General features: G+C 41.6%; 2 pseudogenes across 1 annotated transcript; one reads left to right on the top strand and one right to left on the bottom strand.

Annotated features, from left to right (window-relative positions):
* The window catches only part of FAM21FP (family with sequence similarity 21 member F, pseudogene), a 23,867-nt pseudogene extending 17,375 nt beyond the window's left edge, over positions 1-6,492 (top strand).
* On the bottom strand, positions 6,493-27,358 carry AGAP10P (ArfGAP with GTPase domain, ankyrin repeat and PH domain 10, pseudogene; annotated as a pseudogene). The gene is made up of 8 exons (NR_160521.1): positions 26,834-27,358; positions 26,396-26,464; positions 24,034-24,102; positions 21,354-21,388; positions 13,716-13,815; positions 11,091-11,126; positions 7,758-7,809; positions 6,493-7,118 (listed from the first exon to the last, which is right to left on the bottom strand). The product of NR_160521.1 is annotated as an ArfGAP with GTPase domain, ankyrin repeat and PH domain 10, pseudogene (transcript).

Here is a 27,358-nt window from a genome sequence, read left to right as displayed (position 1 = left end):
ACAAATAAGGAGGCTCCTTTCCTCTGGGAATAGGGAGGACTGGAATTAAGTTCTTATGACCTACTCCAGAGAGGGTTAGAGGATTCTTCTATGTCCTGCTTCAGAGGAGAAGGGCCAGGGAAAGGTCAGAGAGACCTTTCTGCTTCTGTTTTCTCAAATGCCAAGGTGTCATATTTTGAGGTAGCATGTCCCATATACCCCAATGGCCATATATACTAGTATCTTGTTAAATGACTACTGTGTTTCATTAATTTAGAACTATAGTTAGGAGGAGTTACCTATTGAGGTTAAACTCCTTTTTGAGGGAGTCTTAACAATATTTCTGTTTGTGATCTGGATAGATACTACCAAATCAGTTAGTTTAGTTGCTAACTCAATCAGATTTAGTAGCAGGGAATCAGATTTAGCTGTGCAGAAAAAGACTTTAAATATGATGATATAAAAAATCCTGAGTATTAAACATCTTCCTGTGTTATAATAATTCCTCTTTCCTCCCCTCATAGGGGGAAAGATCTTAGGAGAAATACATGGAGACTATAAAAATTTTATATTTTCTCAAACTTTTAAATTTTTTTTCAGGCCAGGCGCAGTGGCTCACGCCTGTAATCCTAACACTTTGGGAAGCCGAGGCGGGTGGATCACCTGAGGTCAGGAGTTCAAAACCAGCCTGATCAACATGGAGAAACCCCATACCTACTAAAAATACAAAATTAGCCAGGCGTGGTGGTGCATGCCTGTAATCCCAGCTACTCAGGAGGCTGATGAAAGAGAATCGCTTGAACCCAGGAGGAGAGGCTGCAGTGAGCTGAGATCGTGCCATTGCACTCCAGCCTGGATAACAAGAGCGAAGGTCCATCACAAAAAAAAAAAAAAAAAAAAAAGGCCAGGCACAATGGCTCACACCTGTAATCCCAGCACTTTGGGAGGCCGAGGTGGGTGGATCACCTGAGGTCAGGAGTTGGAGACCAGCCTGACCAACATGGAGAAACCCCATCTATACTAAAATAAAATACAAAATTAGCTGGGCATGGTGGTGCATGCCTGTAATCCCAGCTACTCGGGAGGCTGAGGCAGTAGAATTGCTTGAACACGGGAGGTGGAGGTTGCCATGAGCCGAGATCCTGCCATTGCACTCCAGCCTGGCCAACAAAAGCAAAACTCCATCTCAAAAAAAAAAAAAAAAACAAAAAAAAAAACAAAAAAAAACTATTTTGACAGCTGGGCATGGTGGCTTACACCTGTAATCCCAGCACTTTGGGAGGCCAAGGCAGGTGGATCACCTGAGGTCAGGAGTTCGAGACCAGCCTGGCAAACATGGTGAAACCCTGTCTCTACTAAACATACAAAAATTAGTTTGGCATGGTGGCATGTGCCTGTAAGTTCCAGCTACTTGGGAGGCTGAGGCAGGAGAATCGCTTGAACCCAGAAGGCAGAGGTTGCAGTGAGCCGAGATGGTGCCATTGCACTCCAGCCTGGGCAACAGAGTGAGGGATCTCAAAAAATTATAATAAAAAAAATAATAATAATTCTATTTTGAATTGTGGTAAAATATACATAAAATTTACTACCTTAACCACTTCTAAGTGGCAGTTGGAACAGGGGTCAAGGAGAGCCCTTGGGTTGGGTAATGTAGAGTATATTCACATTGCCATGCAACCAATCTCCGGAACTTTCTCATCTGACAAAACCAAAACTCTATATCCACTAAGCAACTTCCCATTTTCTCCCTTCCCCATGTCCCTGGCAACCCCCGTTCTACCTTCTGTTTCTATTAGTTTGCTTACTCAGTCTGGACGCTTCACATAAGTGAAAGAACACAGTATTTGTCTTTTTCTAACTGGCTTATTTCACTTAGCATAATGTCCTCAATGTTCATCCATGTTGTAGCATGTGTTAGAATTTCCTTCCTTTTTAAGGCTGAAGAATATTTTACTGTATGTATATACCACATTTTATCAATTCATCTGCCTATGGACAATTCGGCTGCATCCATCTTTTGACGAGTGTGAATACCACTGCTATAAATATCAGTGTACACATATTTCTATGAGACCTTGCTTTCAATTATTTTGGCTATATACCCAGAAGTGATATTGCCGGATCATTTGGTAATTCTATTTTCAATTTTTTGAGAAACTGCCTGTCCTGTGCTGAGCAGGTCTATATAAACCTACCCGCAAAGGCCAAGGAACCTGAGATACCAAAGAAAGAGGCTGACAAATCCAGTTTCTCAGAAAGAAACATTTAATAGGCGTTTATGAACAGAAGGCAAGTCAGGGATGGCACCAAGATAAGATGGTGGATCCCTGTGCCATCACCCCCACCCCCCCGACCCAGGGCTTCTATAGCATAGGGGAAGGGTAATGCGGGCTTCAGCAGGGATGTGTATGGCCAGACACGGTGGCTCACGCCTGCAATCCCAGCTCTTTGGGAGGCCAAGGTGGGCGGATCACCTGAGGTCAGGAGTTCCAGACCAGCCTGGCCAACACGGTAAAACCTCGTCTCTACTAAAAATACAAAAATTAGCCAGGCGTGGTGGCAGGCGCCTGTAATCCCAGTTACTCGGGAAGCTGAGGCAGGAGAATCGCTTGAACCCAGGAGGTGAAGTTTGCAGTGAGCTGAGATTGTGCCACTGAAGTCCAACCTGGGAGACAGAGTGAGACTCGGTCTCAAAAAATAAAAAATAAAAAATAATTTTTTTAAAAAGATAAAATAGAAATCGTAGATGAATTGTTGGAACTGGGATTAATCAGAATATTGCAGATTAGCATCCAAGATGGAATTGCTTTATTCTCATTCAAGGTTTCCCTCATTCTTCACTCTCCCCATGCTGGTCACCTTGCTGTTTGTTCCTCGAACACATATGAAATGCGTTTCTGTCTTGGCAGTCATCCTGCTACCTGTAATGTCAGCACTGCTTTCTGTTGTCCCTTCAGTCAGGTCACTGTTCAAATAGCTCTCTAGACAGGCTCTTCCTTATCATTCTACTTAAAATAGCCCCCAATCACTCTGTGTCCCTTTAGCCTGCTTCCTCTTCCTGCTATTTCATACTACCTGAAAAAATACTTGTTTGAACTTCCTAGAACATAAGCTCATAAAAGCAAGAACTGTGCTCCACCTCTCCTCTCCTCTACCCCAGCACTCAGAAGAGCAACAGAGTCAGCATCCAGTGAGTGTTCATGAATCAAGTCACTGCTTGGCAGAATTCAGCACTGGGACCACAGCCTCGCCTATCTTCAACTCTTTCTCCTTCTGCTTTTCCTCCTCCCACTCTAGTAGCCACTCTTCTGGGGGCTTGTCCCTTAAATGATTAGTCCTTACCGACCTATTTTCTGTCCACTTTATCTGTTTTTGAGAGAGGGTCTCACTCTGTTGCCTAGGCTGGAGTGCAGTGGCATGAATATGGGTCACTGCAGCCTCCACCTCCTGGGCTCAAGTGATCTTCCTGCCTCAGCCTGCCATGCCATGTAACTGGGGCCACAGGCATGTGCCACCATGTCCAGCTAATTTCTTGATTTTTTTTTGGTAGAAATGGGTCTCACTTTATTGCCCAGTCTGGTCTTGAAGTCCTACACTCGAGCAGTCCTCTCAACTTGGCCTCCCAAAGTGCTGGGATTACAGGCATGAGATACTTACTGTACCTGGTCTTATTTCTTCTTTTCTTAAGATACAGGGTCTCACCATCTGGCCCAGGCTGGACTCAAACTGCTGAGCTCAAGTAATTCCCCACCTCAGCCTCCAAAGTAGCTAGGACTAAAGGCATGAAACCACCATGCTTGGCTCGTCCAATTTCATTCTACACACTTTCTCGGTATTTAAACAGCTGCTGTTGCTCTTCATTCTGTAGCTCTACATCAGATTCATGCTCTAGTCCTGTATATCCAAATGATGACTACAGGCTGCCAGCTCTGCTCTTTCAAAGGCACAATGAGCATAGCCCGTCTACAAAACTCTCCCTTTTCCAATCCAGCTTTCCCTCCTGCATCACCTATCTCTCTACATCTGGAACCATCGGCAGCTGCCTTCATAAGGCACCTCGGTCTGGCATTCGGAAAACCACCCTGTCTTGCCAGAGCTGCTTGGTCTTGGGTAGCAAAAGCTGTATGCAATCTAAATCAAGCTTTCAATCATGAGAAATCACATTCCTTCTTTTCCCTTTGTAATATACTCATGTATTTTTTTTTCCTTTCTCAATAAGCAAATTGTACCACCATCTTATTCTGAGATGCTCCTTTTTAAAAGCTGTAGATCACATTAATGGAAGTGTTTACTGCTGGGAATATTTTCCATGTGCAATGATCTGTAACCCTCTTTTTCTTTTCTTTTTTTTGAGACCGAGTCTCGCTCTGTTGCCCAGGCTGGAGTGCAGTGGCACAATCTCTGCTCACTGCAAGCTTTGCCTCCTGAGTTCATGCCATTCTCCTGCCTCAGCCTCCCAAGTAGCTGGGACTACAGGTGCCCGCCACCATGCCCAGCTAATTTTTTTTTTTTTGAGATGGAGTCTCGCTTGGTCACCCAGGCTGGAGTGCAGTGGTGCAATCTCAGCTCATTGCAAGCTCCGCCTCCTGGGTTCACGCCATTCTCCTGCCTCAGCCTCCCAAGTAGCTGGGACTACAGGTGCCCGCCACCACACCTGGCTAATTTTTTTTTTTTTGTATTTTTAGCAGAGACGGGGTTTCACCATGTTAGCCAGGATGGTCTTGATCTCCTGACCTTGTGATCCGCCTGCCTCGGCCTCCCAAAGTGGTGGGATTACAGGTGTGAGCCACCACGCCCGGCCATGCCCAGCTAATTTTTTGTATTTTTTAGTAGAGATGGGGTTTCATGATGTTAGCCAGGATGGTCTCAATCTCCTGACCTGGTGATCAGTCCGCCTAGGCCTCCCAAAGTGCTAGGATTACAGGTGTGGGCCACTGCGCCCAGCCGATCTGTAACCCTCTTATCTCAACTAGCTGACATTATTACTTCACATTCAGTTCAATTTATAAATTAAGAGAGGTGCCACGGACCGGGCACGGTGGCTCACGCCTGTAATCCCAACACTTTGGGAGGCCGAGGCAGGTGGATCACAAGGTCAGGAGTTCGAGACCATCCTGGCTAACATGGTGAAACCATGTCTCTACTAAAAATACAAAAAATTAGCCAGGTGTGGTGGCAGGCACCTGTAGTCCCAGCTACCTGAGAGGCTGAGGCAGGAGAATGGTGTGAATCCGGGAGGCAGAGCTTGCAGTGAGCAGATATCACGCCACTGAACTCCAGCTGGGGCCACAGAGCAAAACATCGTCCAAAAAAAAAAAAAAAATGAAAAAGAGGTGCCATGTGTACAAAAATCAATGCAAATTTATGAACTTTTTTTCAAATATATTTTCACACATCTTATCTAAATACATAATACAGAAGCCTGTGTGACTTGGGCAATGTGGCCAGGAGGGCCTGAGACTAACACATCCACCTCGGCAAAAGGACATAAAATATGTCTTATGGTCAGAAAAATCAACATTTTGTGTATTTACTTAGTTTATGAGAAGTACTGAAAATGCTATTATAAGCTGAATTTGTGATTTCCTTTTGAAATTCTGAGTTATCCTTATTTTTCCCATTTTGTTTTTGCACCAAGGAGACTGTAGTCAAATAAAACAGAACTACACGCACTCGTCGGGGCAGCCGTACTGCAGAAGCACGTTGATGCACTCCTGGCTGGAGGCCTGCCGGGCGTAGGTCAGCGCTGTGTTCCCGTGGGCATCTCGGGCCATGACGTCCACCCCGTACCAGATCAGGAGCTGCGCCAGGACCACATTCCCCTTGCGGCAGGCCAGATGGAGCGCCGTGCAGCCGTCTCCCTCCCCACAGGTCTCGTTCACCTCCTCACGGGAGCCATGTGCCAGCAGCAGGATGGCTGTCTGCAGGTCCTCATCAGCGGTGGCCCGCAGCAGCTGCTGGCCCAGGGACAGATCAGTGCAGGGTAGTGGGGCCAGAAAGAGCTTCTCCTCATATTTGGAAAGGATCCACCGTTCCTTTTCTTCCCTCGTGGACTTTTCTGAGGGTTTTGTCTGTCCCTGGCTGCTCCCTTCCCAGATGCTGTTGGCTAGGTCATTGCCAATAGATGACATAACCTTCCTGAGCTCAACTGGCCAGTCATCCAGCTCCAGAGATCGCACACGGGAAAGGCGGGTGCCAAGACTGCGGTGGATACCTGAGCATTCAATACACATGAGGACTCCCAAGTTCAAACTGGCCCACTTAGGATTCTGGGTCTCACAGTCCACACAGTGGGCGTTCCCACGCATGTTTTGGATCGACTGCAGGGCCATGGCCTCGCTCTGGCTGGTCAGCTGGGACTTGCTTTTACTGCTCTCGCATGACTGCAGGCTGGCCAGGATCTGGCTCTGGATGGCTTGGACCCAGGCATCCCGCTCCTCATATGTCGTGGCTTCAAAGTGCCACGTTTGGCCAGTGGCAGACACAATCATAAAGTTGTTGGTGCTTTTCTTCTTTAGGTGTTTCTTTTTATTGGCATGAGGAGAGGGGGGCGGGTTGAGCTTGGGGCCGGTGGTGCTGGAGATACTGGGGCTGAAGCATATGGAGTCACCCAGCCCGGTGTCCATGTCCTTGGATAGGTCATTGCTTTTAGAGCTGGAGATGGGTGCGCAGGCCGATGTGGCTAGGGATGGCCACTTTCCTGGGACTTTGATGGTAGATGTCTGAAGGTCAATCTCTTTTTTATGAATATTCTTCATATAATCACCTAAGCTTGAATAATAGGTGAGCACGCCATTGGAACACAGGGTGACGTATTTCTTTTTCCATGTCTTCAGCCATTTCCCACTTCGCTTTAAGAGCATGCCCTGTTTAATGGGGATGGCTCTGCCGCTCCCGATGGTGTCAGCATGATTCTCCGGGGCTTTCCTCTCTTTGTCTGGGTCACTCCCTTTCTCAGATGTAAACAGGTTGGACCAGCGCATGGACCGCTTGCAAACGGGGGTGGGTGTGTTGGCAGTGGGAGGAACACTGAACTGAGGGTCCTCCTGGCTGGTGCTGGGAGTCGATGGAATGGAGGAGGAATAGTTATTTAAACTCCCACCTCCATTTCTGTTCTTCGTAATGTGCACGGTGGAAACCTGTGTGGAACAGAAGGAGGAATGGCTTCAAAAATTGGGTAGTGGCTTGCAGGGTCCTATAGACAGCTCACAATTACCTTTTAAAAAGATACATTTTCTGGGCCAGGCATGGTGGCTCACACCTGTAATCACAGCACTTTGGGAGGCCAACGTGGGTGGATCACGAGGTCAGGAGTTCAAGACCATCCTGGCCAACATGGTGAAACCCTGTCTTTACAAAAAAAAAAAAAGAAAAAAAAATTAGCTGGGCATGGTGGCACATGCCTGTAATTCCAGTTACTCAAGAGGCTGAGGCAGGAGAATTGCTTGAACAGGGACCTGGGAGGCAGAGCCTGCAGTGAGCCAAGATCGCGCGATTGCACTCCAGCCTGGGCTACAGAAAGAGAGTCCATAAAAAAAAAAAAAAAAAAAAAAAAAGATACATTTTCTGTTGTTTGGATAGTATATTTACTCATACTAGCTCACTAACTAAACAGAGCTGCAGATCAGTTCTTACTCCAGCACATTCTTTTTACAACACTTAAGATGACTAAATGCAACATGAAATGGGGAAGATTTAAAAAAAGATGGCTTTGACTTCAGCATGAAACAGATACAAGTGTACGATGAAAATACAACCTCAATAAAAGTGCCACTTACCGCAAATGAGTGTAACTGTTCATCAGGTATGCTCAAAGATCTATCTGCATCTCTATAAAATAAGAAAGCGCGTTACTTCAAAAACTGTTAATATCTTAGTATAATATTTGTTTAGTAAAATACTGCCTCCTGTGTGCTTTGGTGTTTACCAAAGCAGTTTTTACGAATTCTTCTCCTGGATCCTGACTTGCAGAGGGTTTCCTGACTTCTTCTTTCTCAGCACATCATGGCCTGTACCGTGAAGTCTTTTATATGATAACCAGTCAGAAATGCCCGTGAGTATTGACTCTCCCTAACAGGCCATGGCAATAAACCAAACATATTTTCACTCTTCTAACCACACATTGAAACACAAGAATGTTCTACAAAGCAGTAGTAGTAAACTTTAATAAATGTAAATGTGATTCAGATTTCCTAGCTTCCTTTCTCTTTAGTTCTCTGTAGTATACTCTCATGATGTATTTATGTACTTTCTGTTGTTTGAATGACAAACTCATCTGCCTTTTTAAGACGCCAGTCTTTGATGAACTTTAAACTTTGTAAAACTAATGCATTGTGCCTGTGTATAAACCAGTGGTTCTCCAAATGTGCTGTGTGGACCTCTCGGGATCCCGAAGACCCCTTCCAGAAGGCCTAAGAGGTCATAACTGTTCTTTTTTTTTTTTTTTTTTGAGACCAAGTTTTACTCTTGTTGCCCAGGCTGGAGTGCAATGGTGTGATCTCGGCTCATGGCAACCTTCGCCTCCCAGGTTCAAGTGATTCTCCTACCCCAGCCTCCCAAGTAGCAGGGATTACAGGCACCTGCCACCACTCCTGGCTAAGTTTTGTATTTTTAGTAGAGATGTGGTTTCACCATGTTGGCCAGGCTGGTCTTGAACTCCTAACCTCAGGTGATCCGCTTGCCTCGGCCTCCCAAAGTGCTGGGATTACAGGCCTGAGCCACTGTGCCTGGCCAACACTGTTCTGAATCATACTAATTAAACCTGAGAAAGCTGATGAAAAATTTTAAAAATTTGTGAAAGTAATACAAAGCCATTGCCTGCTCTTTCGTTGACACTTGCCATGATTATATAAAAGCAAAAGTGGGTACAATGGCTGGTTTCTCAGCATAAATCAAGGCAGTGGTACCAATTACATTAGTAGTCATTCTATTCTTCACTGTCCCCTACAGGTAAAAAACATAGCCTGAATTTCTTAAGAATGTCTTTGATGAAGCAGTAAAAATTAATGTTGTTAAATCTTGACATGTCTCTAATATTCTGAATAAGTGGAAAGTTAACCAGAAGCGCTTTTTTTTTTGTTTTTAAAGAATCCGTGATTTAACTATGAACTGAAAAATCACTTTTTTCACAGAACATCATTTTTATTTAAAAGTACAACTGGGCCAGCGCAGTGGCTCACGCCTGTAAAATCCCAGCACTTTGAGAGACCAAAGCAGGCAGATGGCTTGAGCTCCTTCAGGAGTTCGAGACCAGCCTAGGCAACATAACGAAACCCTGTCACTGTCAAACATATAAGAAAATTAGCCTGGCGTGGTGCCACACATCTGTGGTGCCAGCTACAAAGGAGCCTGAGGTGAGAGGATTGCTTGAGCTGAGATCATGCCAATGCACTCCAGCCAAGTGACAGAGTGAAACTCGGTCTAAAAAACCAGTTCAACTATCATTCTCAAAAATAAATGAAGTGAGAGGTTGTCACTTCAAGGGAAATACGTATTTGTTCCCAATGATAAAATTTAAGCTTTCCTGTGGACTTTGAAAAACTTGTTCCTTCTACTGTAGGCTTGGCAGCTATTCAATACTTAAAGGCGTGTTAAAGTAAGATTGGTGGTTAAACTAAAAGTGATTTTTGACACAATAAAACATAAACCGATATATTCCAAGTAACTAATGCATGATATTATAAATGCAAGTATGGAGCAAAAGATCCATTTACTGTGGAAGAAAGATCAATGAGTACTGATGGAATAAATTTATTAATATGTAAAATGCCACCGTAACTAATTTAAGAAACCACCACTTGTGAAGTTTTGATTTAGTGTTAACAAATACCCACAACTGTCTGAAAAGTTTAAAAATACACCTTCTACCAACTACATATTTGCATGAGGTTCGGTCATCTTATTGCTTCTTTTTTTCTTTTTTTGAGACAGAGTCTCTCTCTGTCACCCAGGCTGGGGTGCAATGGCGAGATCTCGGCTCACTGCAACCTCCACCTCCCAGGCTCAAGCGATTCTCCTGCCTCAGCCTCCCAAGTAACTGGGACTACAGGCATGCACCACCACGCCCAGCCATTTTTTGTACTTTCAGTAGAGGCGGGTTTTACCATGTTGGTCGGGCTGGTCTCAAACTCCTGACCTCAAGTGATCCACCCACCTCGGCCTCCCAAAATGCTGGGATTACAGGTGTGAACCACTGCGCCCCACCAGCTTATTGCTTTTTTTGTTTGTTTGTTTAGGCAGAGTCTTGCTCTGTCACCCAGGCTGCAGTGCAATAGCACCATCTCAGCTCTCTGCAACCTCCGCCTCCCAAGTTCAAGCGGTTCTCCTGCCTCAGCCTCCAGAATAGGTGGGACTACAGGTGTGTGCCATCATGCCCAGCCAAGTTTTTGTATTTTTAGTAGAGACGGGGTTTCGCTGTGTTAGCCAGGATGGTCTCGATCTCCTGACCTTGTGATCCGCCCGCCTCAGCCTCCCAAAGTGCTGGGATTACAGGCGTGAGACACCGTGCCCAACCTCTTATTGCTGCTTTAAAGCAAATTGCAAAGAAAGCTCTAGAGAATCCATTTGTCTCCTATTAAGCTCAACATGAGAGACTTTAAATAATATAAATACATGACGCACTTTTTACTCAACTTTTTGTTGTAGAAAAGTTATTTTTCAATGAAAAAATTCTGTTAACAATACTGTTCTCAAGGAATATTTTCTGTTGTTATAACCTGGGTCATGGGTTACTACTGATATCTAGTTGGTAGAGGCCATGAATACTGCTAAACTCTCTGCAATGCACAAGACAGTCCTCACAACAAAGCATTATCTAGCCCATAATATCAACAGTGGTAAGGCTGTGAAATCTAAACTAAAAATAGATTTTGAAAAAATTTCAATTGTATAATTCTACCACACTAAATATCAATATAATCAATATAAACACATACTCTTTGAGATTCTCAATCATTTAAGAATTATGAGAGTCTTAAGGAACAAAGAAAATACAAATAATTTGCTTCAATATTTTAGTAGGCACAATACAGCTTATGATGTGCCTAACACTGAGCTTGATATCTTGCAAAGTACTTAGCTAGAATAACAAGACAGGTTTCTAAAAAGCTCACCTTTGTGTGATATGATGAGGTATCTCCAAGGTCACACTGTGGAAGGAAAAAAAATTCATAACAATAGATGTTAACATTTGTTAGGCCTGAAGACATTTTTTAAAAGGGGGGCAGAGGAAACTCTCCTAGTGGCCCTGAAATTCAAATCTTCTAGTTCAGAACAGTACCATAAGGGCACTTTGTTTTCATTTCTTTGTTTTTTACAAAAATATGAGAACCAAAATGCAAGGAAATATGCCGTTAGAAGACGCGTTTCTGTTGGTGATTACAATATATAAATAATAACAGATTTCCTTGTTACATGCTTTTCTACCCACGAAACCTTTCGTCCCATGCGATTTATTTTATGTATTTATTTATTTTTTGACCCAGAGTCTGTCTCTCTTGCTCAGACTGGACTGCAGTGGTGCCATCTTGACTCCTCACAACCTCCACCACCCAGGTTCAAGCGATTCTCATGCCTCAGCCTCCCAAGAAGCTGGGACTACAAGTTTGTGTCACTATGCCCAGATAATTTTTTTTTGGAGGGGGGCGGTGGGTGGAGTTTCGCTCTTGTTGCCCAGGCTGGAGTGCAATGGTGTGATCTCGGCTCACCACAACCTCTGCCTCCCGGGTTCAAGAGATTCTCCTGCCTCAGCCTCCCAAGTGGCTGGGATTACAGGCATGTGCCACCACACCCAGCTAATTTTGTAGAGTGAGCCTCAAAACAACTGAGGGAAGGCAAATCTCAATTCTACTAATAGGTCTACACAATATTAGCACTTTTTAAAAAGCCTGTAACATTAGCAGGTAAGATGGATATGTCTATAGTGCTTCAAGTAGTTTTCATCTCTGAAATAATTTTAAAATCACAGAATTTAAAGTTACATGCTGGAAAGGACCAATGACCTTATGTGACATTTAATTCAACACTCGTTTTACAGATCAGGGAAACAGACCTTAAAACTGACTTGCCCAAGGTCCCACCAAATAGGAGCAGTTTCTCATCCTAAACTCAAATTAAGCAGTGGCTGTCAAACTTTGCTGCACATTAAAATCGCCTGAGAAGCTTTAATATCTGCCTCATCTTCCACATGAGACATTTTAATTTAATTAGTATTGGGTATGGCTTTGGGCATCAAGGTTCTTGGTAAACGTTTCCCAGGTGATTTCAATCAGCAGCAAAGTTTGGAATGATTGAGTTGGGGTGAAAATCAGAATCTTCTGGGATGCTTTTCTTCACAGAAAGATGCCTCACATCCATCCCGATTTTCCTAAAAGGCTTCTCAGTGCCTAGAGATAGAGGGAAAGTGGAGATGGGAAGATACATGTGTTTGCAGACTTGTGTTTTGAAAAAAACCTTGCATAAGTGATCTCAGCGAGTTCCACCTATCCCACTGACAACAGTGCACTACTGATTCATGATAAAACATTTTTCAAAATATCTTCTTGAAGCCAATTTGCCCAATTAATTTGTTCAATAACTTTATTTCACCAATAGTGAATACACCAAATGATCATTTCTCAAATTTGCTGGTGGCAAATTAAAACTTACTATACTCTCAAAAGTAGACTTCTAAAAAGTAGAATAATGAGGAAAAAAGCACGAAATTTGTTTCAGCAAAATTAATCTTCAAAGCTGCTTTTGAATTATATGCTAACATATGAAAATCTTTGGAACTCAGAAGAAGCCAGGGACTCTAGTCAAAGTAATTTTTGTGTATGTGTGCTCAGAGATTTAAGAGACTTAGCTGACTACAGACATTTAGTGATTACTCAATAGGTCCCAAAGCTCAGGACTTGAGACAGAGTTTGAGTCCAGTTTTTGTTCGAAACACAATTTCCTCTCAACTATTGTTAAAAGGGAGGGAGGAAAGTGACATTATTATGAGTGTAAACTTTCCACTTTTAATTGAAGTAAAAGTTATTGACAATTGAATTAGTTAAAAAGGCTAGTGCATTTGAAACAAAATTGTTTATAAGCTAGTTATGTGTACAGAATGAAAAGTTAAATTAAAGATAAAGACATTAATATTCTAAATTAGCACTTTCCAAACTGTGTTCTAAAAATCAAGACTAATAACCCAAGAAGATGAGAATAATGTACACTGGACAGCCCCTGTGGAGCTGGTGGTGGTGTTGGTTGTTGTTCCTTTTAAAATAAACTTCATCTCAGGGTGCTCTCAAAGCGCATCTTTGTGGCCCATGAGGTGCTCATGCACAATGGGAGAAATTCAAATGCAGATACACTGCGTTGCCAGAAGAAGAAAAGCTGTTCCTTCTTCCAAGGATAATGTCCAAAGTAGTGCACACTGATTTAGGCCTATGATGCATTGAAAAACTAAGTTTCCACAAGAAAACATTCAATAAAGGGAACCTATCCTTCTCACTCTGTTCAACATTGTCTAAAGGCATAAAGGCATCAAAAAGATACACTGTTTCTGGGATTGCTTCTTTGCTAACTGATTTTTCCTTCCACCACGACGTCTAAGATTAAAAGAGAAACTGATACTTAATATTCAGAATCTGGATATCAATATATGGTTGACTCCAATTTCTTAAACTGATTGCTGAAAAGGACAACCAAATGACTGAAATAATTTTAGAATAAAGGAATCTGTCCCTCGGCAGCATAGTTGTACTCACGATATTATTGTCATTGTAAGATAATGCTGATGGCTGTGCTGTCATCAAGGAATATTGTCGAACACAAGCTGTATTGTTGACTGAAACGCACAGTAGATACCTGAAGGGGAAGGGAAGTGTAAGTCAAACTTATCAAAGTGTATTATTTTCTCAGTTAAAATGTCAAATGACAAAGCACTAAGATATGTCTTACACTCCATGAACTGCCTGAGTGTGGTATCATGTGCACTCTATAGAAAACCCATTGGAGGCTCTCAACTTCCAGAGATGATGTTTAAGATATGGGTTATAAAATGCTGCCCTTAATATGGTACCTGTCATCAAACCTAACAAGGATTTTATGAATTACCGTTAAAAATAATGGGAAAAGTCGGCTTCGCGGGGCGCGGTGGCTCACACCTGTAATCCTAGCACTTTGGGAGGTGGAGGCGGGCGGATCACGAGGTCAAGAGATCGAGACCATCCTGGCTAACATGGTGAAACCCCGTCTTTACTAAAAATACAAAAAATTAGCCGGGCGTGGTAGCAGGCCCCTGTAGTCCCAGCTACTTGAGAGGCTGAAACAGGAGAATGGGGTGAACCCAGGAGGCGGAGCTTGCAGTGAGCCGAGTTCGCGCCACTGCACTCCAGGCCGGCAGACAAAGTGAGACTCCGTCTCAAAAAAAAAAAAAAAAAAAAAAAAAAAAAGAAAAGTTTAAAATAAGATTTCATTTTTTTTCTGCAGCAATAAAAAGCAGCTGAGAATTTCTATTAATTAATTAATTTATTTATTTATTTTTGAGACGGAGTCTCGCTCTGTCGCCCAAGCTGGAGTGCAGTGGCGCGATCTCGGCTCACTGCAAGCTCCGCCTCCCGGGTTCACGCCATTCTCCTGACTCAGCCTCCTGAGTAGCTGGGACTACAGGCGCCCACCACCGTGCCCGGCTAACTTTTTGTATTTTTAGTAGAGACGGGGTTTCACCGTGTTAGCCAGGATGGCCTCGATCTCCTCACCTCGCGATCTGCCTGCCTCAGCCTCCCAAAGTACTGGGATTACAGGCGTGAGCCATGGCGCCCAGCCCTTCTATTATTTATTTACTACAATAAAATGTAATGTATTAAATAATCCTGCTACAAGAGCATTTTATTGCAGTGAATACAAGACTAATGCATTTACTAAATTACTAATCCTAAATGTATTATTTCAGGTGATATTGTTACAAAAGAAGTGTTTCAGATTCAGAGGCTCTGTGTGCCAGGGCTGCTAGGCCACCAACAAGTGAGGAAGCCATAGGTTTCTCTAGTCCTATTTTCTTATGTGGAGGATAAAAAGAGTATCACTTACATATTCTCTCACACCCTGAAAACAAATGACAACTTAAAAAATCTAACTTTCACTTCATGTTTAAATAAGACTGCCAAGACATGACTCAAATGAGACTCTCGGAGAATACTTTGCATTCACTTCAAAACTTGATCAATTGCATTCTATAAATCATCTGACCTGCACCTAGCCATTTTCCTGCTCTACCCCTGCTCTCTGCCTAGAATACTGCTTTTCTCTTTCCTTGCTTCAGCAAGCTCGACTCCATCTACCCTCTTGGATCTCTTTGTCGGCAGCCACACCAAAAAATGTATTTTTATACACTAATTAGTTGAATTCACCACTGCTTACAAGATGCTAATTCCTGCAGAGTATTCCCCTTGTGAGAAAGTATGCCTCTCCATAAGAGTAAGGGAGGGCCCTTACTCTTCCTACCTCCAGCTGCTGAGCATAGAATTTTGAGTAAATCCAAAACTTCGACAAGTGTTTGACAATTCAGTTATCATTTGGAAGGTAAGTCTTACTACATTTAATTACAGCAAAAACACTACTAACAGTTTACTCTTTATAGGTATTATTTAAGGTAGTCACAAAATAGAAACAAATACTCTAACATCAGGCAGCATAAATGAGAGTATGAAATTTTACAATATTTAACAAGAAATGGAAGGGGTTACTTAGTAGTTTTAAGGTTTAATGACAAAAACTAGAAAATAATCGTACCTAGTAATTTAGTAAGTCAAAACCAAAGCCTTACCATCAAAGGTGCAGTACCCATTGGATGCGGATGCCCACGCACTGACTTCTTCTGCTGTACCTGCTGCCTCTCATTTTAACCCATTAAAAATACTAAAGTTGTTTTCCTTGTAGACATCTTTCACCTCCTTGGTTAGGTCTATTCCCAAGTATTTTATTTTAGTTTAGTTTAGTTTTGCAGCTATCAGAAAAGGGGTTGAGTTCTTGGTTTGATTCTAAGCTTGGTCTCTTCTGGGGTATAACAGCGCTACTGATTTGTGTACATTAATTTTGTCTCCTGAAACTTTGCTGAATTCATTTATCAGTTCTAGGAGCTTTTTGGAGGAGTCTTTAGGGTTTCCTAGGTATATGATCATATCATCATCAAACAGCAACAGTTTGACTTCCTCTTTACTGATCTGCATGCCTTTTATTGTTTTCTCTTGTGTGATTGCTCTGGCTAGGCCTTCCAGTAGTATGTTGAATACAAGTGGTGAGAGTGGGCATCCTTGTCTTGTTCCAGTTCTCGGGGGGAATGCTTTCAACTTTTCCCCCTTTCAGTATCATGTTGGTTGTGGGTTTGTCATAGATGGCTTTTATTATATTGAGCTGTGACCCTTGTATGCTGATTTTGCTGAGGGTTTTAATCATAAAAGGATGCTGCATTTTGTCAAATGCTTTTTCTGCATCTGTTTAGATGATCATGTGATTTTTTGTTTTTAATTCTGTTTATGTGGTGTATCACATTTATTGACTTGTGTATGTTAATCCATCCCTGCATCCCTGGTATGAAACCCATTTGATCATGGTGGATTATCTTTTTTTTTTTTTTTGAGATGGAGTCTCGCTCTGTTGCCCAGGCTGGAATATGCAGTGCGGTGATCTTGGCTCACTGCAACCTCTGCCTCCGAGGTTCAAGCGATTCTCCTGCCTCAGCCACCTGAGTAGATGGGATTACAGGTGAGCGCCACCACACCCGGCTAACTTTTGTATTTTTAGTAGAGATGGGATTTCACCATGTTGGCCAGGCTGGTCTCGAACTCCTGACCTCATGATCCGTCCGCCTCAGCGTCCCAAAGTGCTGGGATTACAGGTGTGAGCCACTGTGCCTGGCCCGATTATTTTTTGATATGCCGTTGGGAACTACAAAACGTTGCTGAATGAAGTCATGGACACAAACAAATGGAAAGACACCCCATGCTCATGAATGGGTAGAATGAATATTGTGAAAATGACCATACTGCCAAAAGCAATCTACAAATTCAATGCAACTCCCATCAAAATACCACCATCCTTCTTCACAGAACTAGAAAAAACAATCCTGAAATTTATATGGACCAAACAAGAACCGGCATAGCCAAAACAAAACTAAGCAAAAACAACAAATCTGGAGGCATGACATTACCTGATTTCAAACTATACTATAAGGCCATAGTCGCCAAAATAGCATGGTACTGATATAAAAATAGGCACATACACCAATGGAACAGAATAGAGAACCCAGAAATAAACTCAAATACCTATAGCCAACTGATTTTCAACAAAGCCACCTAAAACATAAAGTGAAGAAAGTAAACCCTATTCAACAAATGGTGCTGGGATAATTGGCAAGCCACATGTGGGAGAATGAAACTGGATCCTCAACTCTCAGCTTACACAAAAATCAACTCAAGATGGATCAAGGACATAAATCTATGACCTGAAACCATAAAAGTTCTAGAAGATAACATTGGAAAAACCCATCTAGACGCTGGCTTAGGCAAAGACTTCATGACCAAGAACACAAAAGCAAATGCAACAGAAACAAATAGGTGAGACTTAACTAAAGAGCTTCTGCACAGGAAAAGGAACAATCAGCAGAGTATACAGACAACCACAGAGTGGGAGGAAATCTTCACAGTCTATACATCTGACAAAGGGCTATTATCCAGAATCTATGAGGAACTCAAACAAATTACAATTACAAAAATATGGAACCAGCCCAAATGCCCGTCAATCAATGAGTGGATAAAGAAACCGTGATATACATACATATATATATATATGAGGAATACCACCTCAGCCATAATAAGGAATGAATTCATGGCATTCCCAGCAACCTGGATGGAAGTAAGACTATTATTCTAAGTGAAATAACTCAGCATGGAAAACCAAATATCATGTTCTCTTTCATACGTGGGAGCTGAGCTATGAGGATGCAAAGCCATAAGAATGATACAATGGACTTTGGGGACTTCGGGGAAAGGCTGGGAGGAGGGTGAGGGATAAAAGACTACAAATTGGGTTCAGCGGATACTGCTCAGGTGATGGGTGCACCTAAATCTCACAAATCATCACTAAAGAACTTAGTCATGTCACCAAATGCCACCTGTTCCCCCAGAAACCTATGGAAATAATAAATAAATAAATAAAGTACAGCATTTTTCTCAGCAAACATAAAATAAAACAAAGACTAAAGTTCATATTTTTCACTCTCCTTTTGGGCAGGACAAATTTTAGATAGGTTTTTAAAGAATTAGTAACTTTTTTCCTTTTTCCGAGACAGGGTCTCCCTTTGTTGCCCAGGCTGGAGTGCAGTGGTGCAATTATAGTTAACTGCAGCCTCAAACTCCTGAGCTCAAGCGATCCTCTGCCTCAACCTCCTGAGTAGGTAATACGAAAGGTGCATGCCACCAGGCCTGGCTAATTTTTTATTTAACCTTTTTGTAGACATGAGGTCTTGCTATGTTGACCAGGCTAAAAATGAACAAATCTTAATTAACTTAAATATTTCTAACATTTTGGGCATTCAGGAAAACAGCTCCATCTATGTTGTGAAGTAATGGGAAGTATATGGCAGTGGATAAACTTTGAATGAAAATATTAAACAAGGCCTTAGGAGAAAAGTGTAATATGCTTATTATAGATACATTAATTTAAAAAATTCTCTGGCTTAATATCATTAATTATACTCAAATTAGACTTTGATTTAAACACAGGTCCTAAATTTGGATTAAATATAATAGATTGACCACAAATTTATTTCGTCTCCCTCCGGAAGCCTCATCAGTCATAAAATAAAGGTTACACCCATGACCAGCACAGAAGGTTGACAGAGATAATTTCTAATAAATGCTGAGACATAAAAAGTAGATAAAGGAGTGGTAAATAACACAGAAACACAACTTTGGTGCCTACAGAAAGTGACTGGAACAGAAGCGAGCCAGTTTGTCTTGCAGAACTAAAGGCAGGTTGTGAACTTACAGGCAAATGGCACTTTGGAAAGTAGGGTAAAATGTGAAAAAAAAAAAAAAAGCCAGCAAGTTCAGTTGCAAATCTCTAACTAGAGCCCCAAGTCCACCTGTCCTTCCATCTGACAAGAAACTTAGATGTGTGTTCTCTGGATATATCAAACCTGAGAATTTCTGGCTCAGAGATACCATGGCTTAAACCTGAGATATAAAGAAAACTGTACACCAAAAATGGAACTCCAACTTTCTTCGCTAACTCTGCTTTTCCTTTCCAGGCCTGCTTTTACTTTCCAGGCAGAAAATTGGGAGATCCTTCTCAGAAGAAACTGAAATGTCTTCAATAAAGATCCCCAGATAATACACTGAGGTCTCCCAAATGAAAAGCTAGTCAGGCTTCTAAGGCCTCACACTGAGTGCTATCAGTTAACAGAAATCCTGCTTCCAAATAAAGCAGGCCAGGGACCACCACACATTGGAGGGAAGCCTCCAAGAAAAGAGATCAAAACAATAGAAAAAAGGAATTGATAGGACCAGTCAAAATCAGGAGCAAAACTTTAAAAAAAAATCTTAAAACACTCTCAAAAAATATAAAATTCAATAGAAATAGTAGAGGATAAAGTCACAGAATATCCCAGAACTAGAATAAAAAGACAAACTGAAAAAAATACAAGGGAAAAAATTAAAAATCAATGCAGGCGTATTGGTCTAAGCAGCCTAGCATCTGAATAACAAGACTATCAGTAAAAAAGTAACAGAGAAAATAAAAAAAAATTCTCAAGAAGAGATAGTCTGCAGGTTTAGTAGCCTCAATAAAATGAAAAGATCCCCAACAAGCTGTTATAAAATTTCAGAACCTTAGAGAGAGAGATTCCAAAAAGCTTCCGCAGATAACTAAAACCTGGTTGTAAATAACGTATCACACACTGGCAATAGATTCAAGAACAACACTGTAATAAGAGCACAACTGCAAAATGTCTTCAGAACCACAACATTTAGATTCAACCTAGAGGTGTACTCTCTATCAAAGAGGAGGGATTTTAACATCTCCACACAGGAAAATGTGTTCAAGTACAACTAGAGACGATAACAGGACAGAAGGAAACACAGAATCTAGGACTCAGGCGATCCCACACAAGACAGCAGTTACGTGAGATACCAAAAGACTTTAAAGAGTTAGCCCAGAAAAGCAGACATTGAGCATATCTAGGGAAACCCACGCTATATTGAACTAGGATGACAAAAGGCCAAAGAAAGTTGCCCCCCACACAAACATAAAAAGGAACAGATGTGTTTTCGCAGATGGAAAATATCTTTGAAAGGCATGTGATAAATGCTACAATACTTGGGGGAAAACAGCTGTTAGAAAACAGGCAAATGAATATAGTCAGAAAATTAGCTTCATGCTAAAAAATAATGGATGTGAAAGCAAACAGAGCACCCAGAGGCTACTTAACGATATTTGGATAGATAAACTAACGTAGGCTAGGAAAAAAGAAGATCCAGGAGAATTGCAGAAGTGCTCAGATTTCAGAACTGTTTCAGAGACAGGATGAAGGACATGGAATGCAGAGGCACAGTGAAAACACCATATGACTTAGCAGTGAATAATATTTGCAGAGTCATAATCATGTAAATATTACTGATTTAATTAAAAAGTGTGCTACAATTGGAAAAAACACAGGGAGAAACATAAGATCATGGTGTAGCGGGGAAGGTATGCTTTTACCTGCTGTGACAGAAAGTCAATAGACAGTGCTGGCAATTAACTTAGCTATTCTATTTTTGTTCTTTCATTAAAAATAAGATTAAATATTTAAGGCAATTTTTTTTTTTTTTTTGAGACAGAGTTTCGCTCTGTCGTCCAGGCTGGAGTGCAATGGCGCGATCTTGGCTCACTGCAACCTCCGCCTCCTGGGTTCAAGTGATTCTCCTGCCTCAGCCTCCTGAGTAGCTGAGATTACAGGCATGCACCACCACGCCCAGCTACTTTTGTATTTTTAGTAGATACAGAATTTCACCATGTTGGTCAGGGTTGTCTCAAACTCCTGACCTCAGATGATCAGCCTGCCTCGGCCTCCTAAAGTGTTGTGATTACAGACATTAGCCACCATGCCCAGCCTTAAGGCAGATCTTTTGAACCGGACTATTGAAATTTAACTTAAATGTCAGAAATCTTTAAAAGGTGGACACGCTAAACTAAGCACTTTCCTGGATAAATTTAATACTCAGGAAAATAGAAGAGATTTAGAAAATCCACAAAAAGAGGTCCATGCTACCACCACCAGGTCCACATTGTAATTTAAAGAAATCAAGAGAGACATCCATTTATGTCAAACTATCAATTTCTTAACTATTTGAGTGTTTACTTACATGGTTTGTACAGTTGCTTCTTCTTATTTCTACAACTAAGAATAAAAAAAAAAAAACTGGTCACTTCTGATACAAATACCATAAAATAAAAGTAGTTGTTAACATCTTACTGATTACTCCTATGAAAAATGAGACAAAATTCCATTAAAAAAAATTTTCAATAACATATAATTTAAATTATCTGGCATGATTAATTTCATAAGTCAAATCTAAAAACTTAGATTTTCATTTAGTTTACTTTTTGTTTCTATTACATACAAATGAAAGAATCCTCATGTACAAAAGAAAAGGGCAAAAAAATTAGGCCAGATGAAAAATTTAGCTAATAAAAAGTTTAACTGTTGCATATATGAGCCATGATCCATTAGTATTCTCTCATTCTGCATTTACACATAGCTTACTTTAATTATCAGACTCTAAGAGCTAACAGTTCTAAAAACTACTTCCTGACCAGACACCTATCTCTAGATGCAACAGAAACCCTGTAAGCATCTTGAACCACACTTAGTGGTTATCTACTAATATGTCACTAAAAACAAAACAAAATTAAAAAATGGTCTTTACACAACTGGAAAGTAACCTATCTTAAATTTGTTTTCTTTTTTGAGATGGAGTCTCACTCTGTCACCTAGGCTCGAGTGCAGTGGCGGGATCTCAGCGCACTGCAACCTCTGCCTCCCAGGTTCAAGCAATTCTTCAGCCTTAGCCTCCGGACTAGCTGGGACCACAGGCACGTGCCACCATGCCTAGCTAATTGTTTTTTGTATTTTTAGTAGAGACAGAGTTACACTGTGTTAACCAGGATGGTCTTGATCTCCTAACCTCGTGATCCACCCACCTCAACCTCCCAAAGAGTTGGGATTACAGGTGTAAGCCACAGAGCCTGGCCTAAATTTTGATGTTAAAATAAGTATACAAACCTAATTGGACATGGTGTCTGCAGCACAAAAAATCATTTTTTTTTCCCTAAAAAGAGGCCAGAATAATAAAAGCCCCAAGAGGGACTTGGGCCATGCTTTGTTTCCTACACTGCCTCTGCCTTTGATGCTGGGAGGGCCTTGTAGGCAAAAGTTACTACCACTGAAGAGTGAGGGACATGGAATAGCTTTTCTTTTACTGCTTCCATGCTCTCTAGGTGTGAGAAGCCCATGCCTCTGGAAGGAACTGGGAAATACAATTCTGATATGTTTTGGATATGTTGCCCCTCCAAGTCTCATGTTAACATGTGACCCTTAATGTTGGAGACAGGGCCTAGTGGGAGGCGTTTGGGTAATGGCAGTGGATTCCTTATGAATGGCTTGGTCCCATCCCCATGGTAATAAGCACATTCTCATTATGGTAATTTAAAAGACTGTGGTACTGGCCAGGTGCGGTGGCTGAAGCCTGTAATCCCAGCACTTTGGGAGGCTGAAGCGGGTAGATCACTTGAGGTCAGGAGTTTCAGACCAGCCTGGCCAACATGGTGAAACCCTGTCTCTACCAAAAATACAGAAATTAGCTAGGTGTTATGGTGCCCAACTATAGTCCCAACTACTCGGGAGGCTGAGGCAGGAGAATTGCTTGAACCTGGGAGATGGAGGTTGTAGTGAGCCAAGATCGTGCCATTGCACTCCAGCCTGGGCAACAGAGTGAGACTCCATTTCAAAAAAAAAAAAAAAAAGAGTGTGGTACCTTCCCCCTTCCCCTCTCTCCTCCCTCTTTCACGGTGTGGAACCACCTGCTTCCCCTTTGCCTTTTATCATGATTGTAAGTTTGCTGAGGCCCTCACCAGAAGCAGATGTTAAAGCCATGTTTGTACAGCCTGAAAATCTTTGAGCCAATTAAACCTCTTTTTGTTATAAATCACCCAGCCTTAGGTATCTCTTTATAGTAATGTAAAAAATGAAGACAAATTCTAACCAGAAATAACTGACTCAAGATGGGCAAAGTCTACTCAAACTATAAAAACAAAGGTTACAAACTCCCGTGTTTTACTGTGCTGCATTACTTCGCACATTATTATAGAACCCTCACTTGTGTTCTTGCTGTTTAAGTCAACTGGAAAACTTGGCTGTGTATGGCTTGTTGGCAAATAAATGAGGATTTAACATAACATTAAGGGAAATAAGCAGGAGTAAGGCATGTTTAAATTTACATTATATCAAATGAAAAAGTTAATAACCTAAAACTTTTGAGTAGCATGAACTTGGATGTGGTAAATGAATGTGGTCAGAGGACTGTGTAAGAGGAGGCCCAAATCACAGATTCAATCCCTGATGATAAACAACTACGTTTTTTAATTTGTTTAAATGAAAACCAAGCTGAAGCCTAAGTTCTATCATTCATCTTTAAAATGTACTTTTTGGAGCAAGGGAAAAGGGATTATAAATAAAGATAAATCCATTAATTATAAATAAAGATAAATCCAAGAATTATAAAGAGAAATCCATGACTCCTCCATCACATCACAAATTAATTGTGTTGATAAAAAGATGGCAAAATGTATAAACAAAAAGGTTACACGTTTTCACTAACATCATAACAACTAAAGGAAAGTATATCACATATTAAAATAAGACAAGGGAACATGTGAAAAGATGAAAATTTTAAACCAATATGAGTTTTTCTAAATACTTTCTATAACCTGATCAAACAAGAGCTTTTATTCTTTCTCTTGGCGGAAAAAACAATGTCGTCTCACCATCTGTTTGAGAGTTCCTCTGGAATATTGTGCTTGCCTCTGGATTGGCAGAAGGGTTAAACTCCAAAGCTATATGCATAGAGGAAGAAAAGAAAAAAAGATGTAATCATTGATAAAAATTTATCAACTCGTTTATTCGGCTGCTGCATTTAGGCTATTTCACTATCTCTACTTTGATTCTTATCCATTGAAATGAGCGTATAGACACAAGACAGAGCCAGGCAAGATGGCACATGCTTGTAGTCCCAGCTACTCAGGAGGCTGAGATGGGAAAATCACTTGAACCCAGGTCAGGAAGTTGAGGCCAGCATGAGTAACATAATGACACCCTCCTTTATTTAAAAAAAAAAAAAAAAGAAGAGGTAAATTTTGGCTTTGAGTTGTGTAAAATCAACTTTGCATAAAATAAATCAAGATGGCAGTAAGTTTTAAAAGACAGGTCTATTTTATAGGCAAAATATAAGAGGTATTCTAGAGTTTTTAAAATTTTTAAAAAGTAAATTCATCATATCTGTCACTTCCATTTCATTCTGAGGACACAGAACCTTAGTTCTCTTGAGTAGCTGTCTTCCATAGTCATGTGATATCTCTAAGTTTTCATTTCTTCATTAGCAACACATAGGGAGAACATACACAGGCCTTATTTGTATTGGAAAGGGCCAAGTGAGACATACATAAACTGTGTTGTAATCCTAAAGAATGACAATAAAGAGCCATTTTTGGGCTCTCATCCAACACTACCCATCTACTAACTGGTGTGTAACATCCATCAGGCTTTCCGAACATCACCAAGCAGAGTATAAGTTTACACAAGTACTTACATGCTTTGTGTATAAAGGTACAATCAATTAATTCACATAATACATTTGTTTATTCTAAAGCAATCCTTAAATATCTTGAAATGTGAAGATAGTACTTCCAAGTTACAAAGTCACACTCATAATGAGTCTTAATTATCCTACCTCTTTAAAAATTAAGAGCGCAACCAAAGTTTAAATAGAAGAGCTATAAGACATTTCCTCTACAGTGATGAAATCTCTGGCATTTAAATGAAACCAATAAGCCTACTGGATGTAATATGTTTATGATGCAATGTTTTCTATTTTGAAAATTTCAGTTTTTATTCAAGAACCATATTATTACCCAGAATTACTTTTACTTAGATTCATCTCTTTGCAAAATTTTAGAGGCAAACCAACTAATTGTTTTCTCTTTTCTACCGGCTCCCATCCCCTGCCTCTGCCAGCAGTGTAGAGACTAAAAAACTCCAACTTTCTTTCCTTTTTTTTTTTTGTGAGACGGAGTCTCGCTCTGTCACCCAGGCTGGAGTGCATTGGCGTGATCTCTGCTCACTGCAACCTCCACCTCCCAGGTCCAAGCAATTCTCCTGCCTCAGCCTTGTGAGTAGCTGGAACTACAGTCATGTGCCACTACGCCCAGCTAATTTTTGTATTTTTTTTTTAGTAGAGACAGCGTTTCACCATGTTGGCCAGGCTGGTCTGGAACTCCTGACCTCAGGTGATCCGCCTGCCACGGCCTCCCAAAGTGCTGGGATTACAGGCGTGAGCCACCAAGCCCAGCCAAAACTGTAACTTTCTTATCTTTGAACAAGATGCTATTGTCAGGAGGGGAAGGGACAAAGGGGGAGCCATGGCAACAAACACTCTTACAGGGAAGGTCTGACATTTTAACCTGCAATCTTTATATTACACATTGAAAGTCTACATTGACGTTTCATGTCTTTTGAAAGTTTTGACCATGAACCAATCCCCACCTCTCTTTTAGAACAAGGAGGTAAATAAAGTCTGTTAAGTCACCAGAATAAATCTGGAGACACATTTTCTGTTAAAGTAAGAATTTTAAAGTAATCAGAGCCTCATAGGTAAACTCCTTTGAGAAACCCCAAACACACACACACAACCATTTTTCTGCAGCCCCGGCTGTGACATTTCACACCTTTCACAATTATTTTAAGCACTCTCCTTTTTTCTTTTTCCTTCTGTGTTCAAATTACAGTTAGAAGAAACTAAGCAGCTTCTATCAAGGTGACTTAAAGCAGCCCATTAAGAATACCATATAGCCTCTCCCGTGGCAAACTCCATTCTGATTTTAAATAAGAAATCCCCAAATATTTGAATAGGAACTGTCCTGAGATTTGACTACTTTAACAAAGGAAACAATTAGGCACTTACCTGGTTCCTTCACTTAGGTACCATCTGGATAGGTACAAAGAAAAAATAAGATGGGTACTGAAAAGTTGGGATATTTGAGTTTTTATTGAGAAAAGGAAGAGAATAGCTCAAAGAAGCCTAAACAAAGTCCCACAGGATAATAAACAGAGCTACAGACACTGTTGTCTCACCATCTGTTTGAGAGTTCCTCTGGAATATTGTGCTTGCCTCTGGATTGGCAGAAAGGTTAAACTCCAAAGCTATATGTATAGAGGGAGAAAAGAAAAAAGATGTAATCATTTATAAAAATTTATCAACTCATTTATTCAACTGCTGCTTATTCGACAAGAGCCATAAATAAATGGTCCCATGCCAGCCTGGGAGAATGAGGTGAGAGAGCAAGAACTGGGCGATTGGGAGGGGAGGCGAAAAGAAACTGACTGGACTTGGTGGGGAAAGACTAAGGGGTGGGAATTCAAGGCAGAGCCAGCTTTTGTTCCTGGCCAGCCCCCGGAAAAGCTGGCTACAAGCAGAAAGGAGCTCAAAGTGGGGGATGCCTCAAAGGGAACCTTGGGGACAGCAGCAGCCAGAGGCAAACCGAGGGTAGATGGCACCTATCACCTCCTTACCTTCAGGCATCTCCCGGTCACGAACGTGGTGCATGTGGAGGTCCTCACCAACTTCAACAGTCACCTCAGCAGGCTGCACAGCAGCAGCCATGGGCGCTCCTGCCATCCTGTCCCCAGCTACTGCCTCATAGATCTCAGATTCAGAGGGACACACCGACCCCTGTTGCTGGTCAAACTCGAGGCTGACGCTAGGGTGCACACGACAGGTCAGTATGTTCCCCATGGGGTGCCTCTACTGTCTGCCACCACCTGTGCCTCTGCTCACAGCTTTGGCCACGCACTCCCGCTGTCCTAGGCCGAGGCTATGCTGCACTTGCAGAGATGGTCTTCCCGCTCCTCGCCTGCCCACCTCACAGCGCGGCCCCGGGCACCAGCCCTGGCCCTGGCCCTGGCCCTGGCCCTGGCCAAGGCCCGCACCCTGCTGCCTCCCCTGAGTTGACTTGTCTGGGAGGGTGAAGACCAGCCGGCTTATTTAATAGGTTGTGAACCCAACAAGTGCTGAGAGACACAACAACTGCCTGAAGA

The sequence above is a fragment of the Homo sapiens genome, chromosome 10 (assembly GCF_000001405.40).
Source record: "Homo sapiens chromosome 10, GRCh38.p14 Primary Assembly".
Taxonomy (NCBI): domain Eukaryota; kingdom Metazoa; phylum Chordata; class Mammalia; order Primates; family Hominidae; genus Homo; species Homo sapiens.
This window is presented reverse-complemented; position numbering and strand designations above follow the sequence as displayed.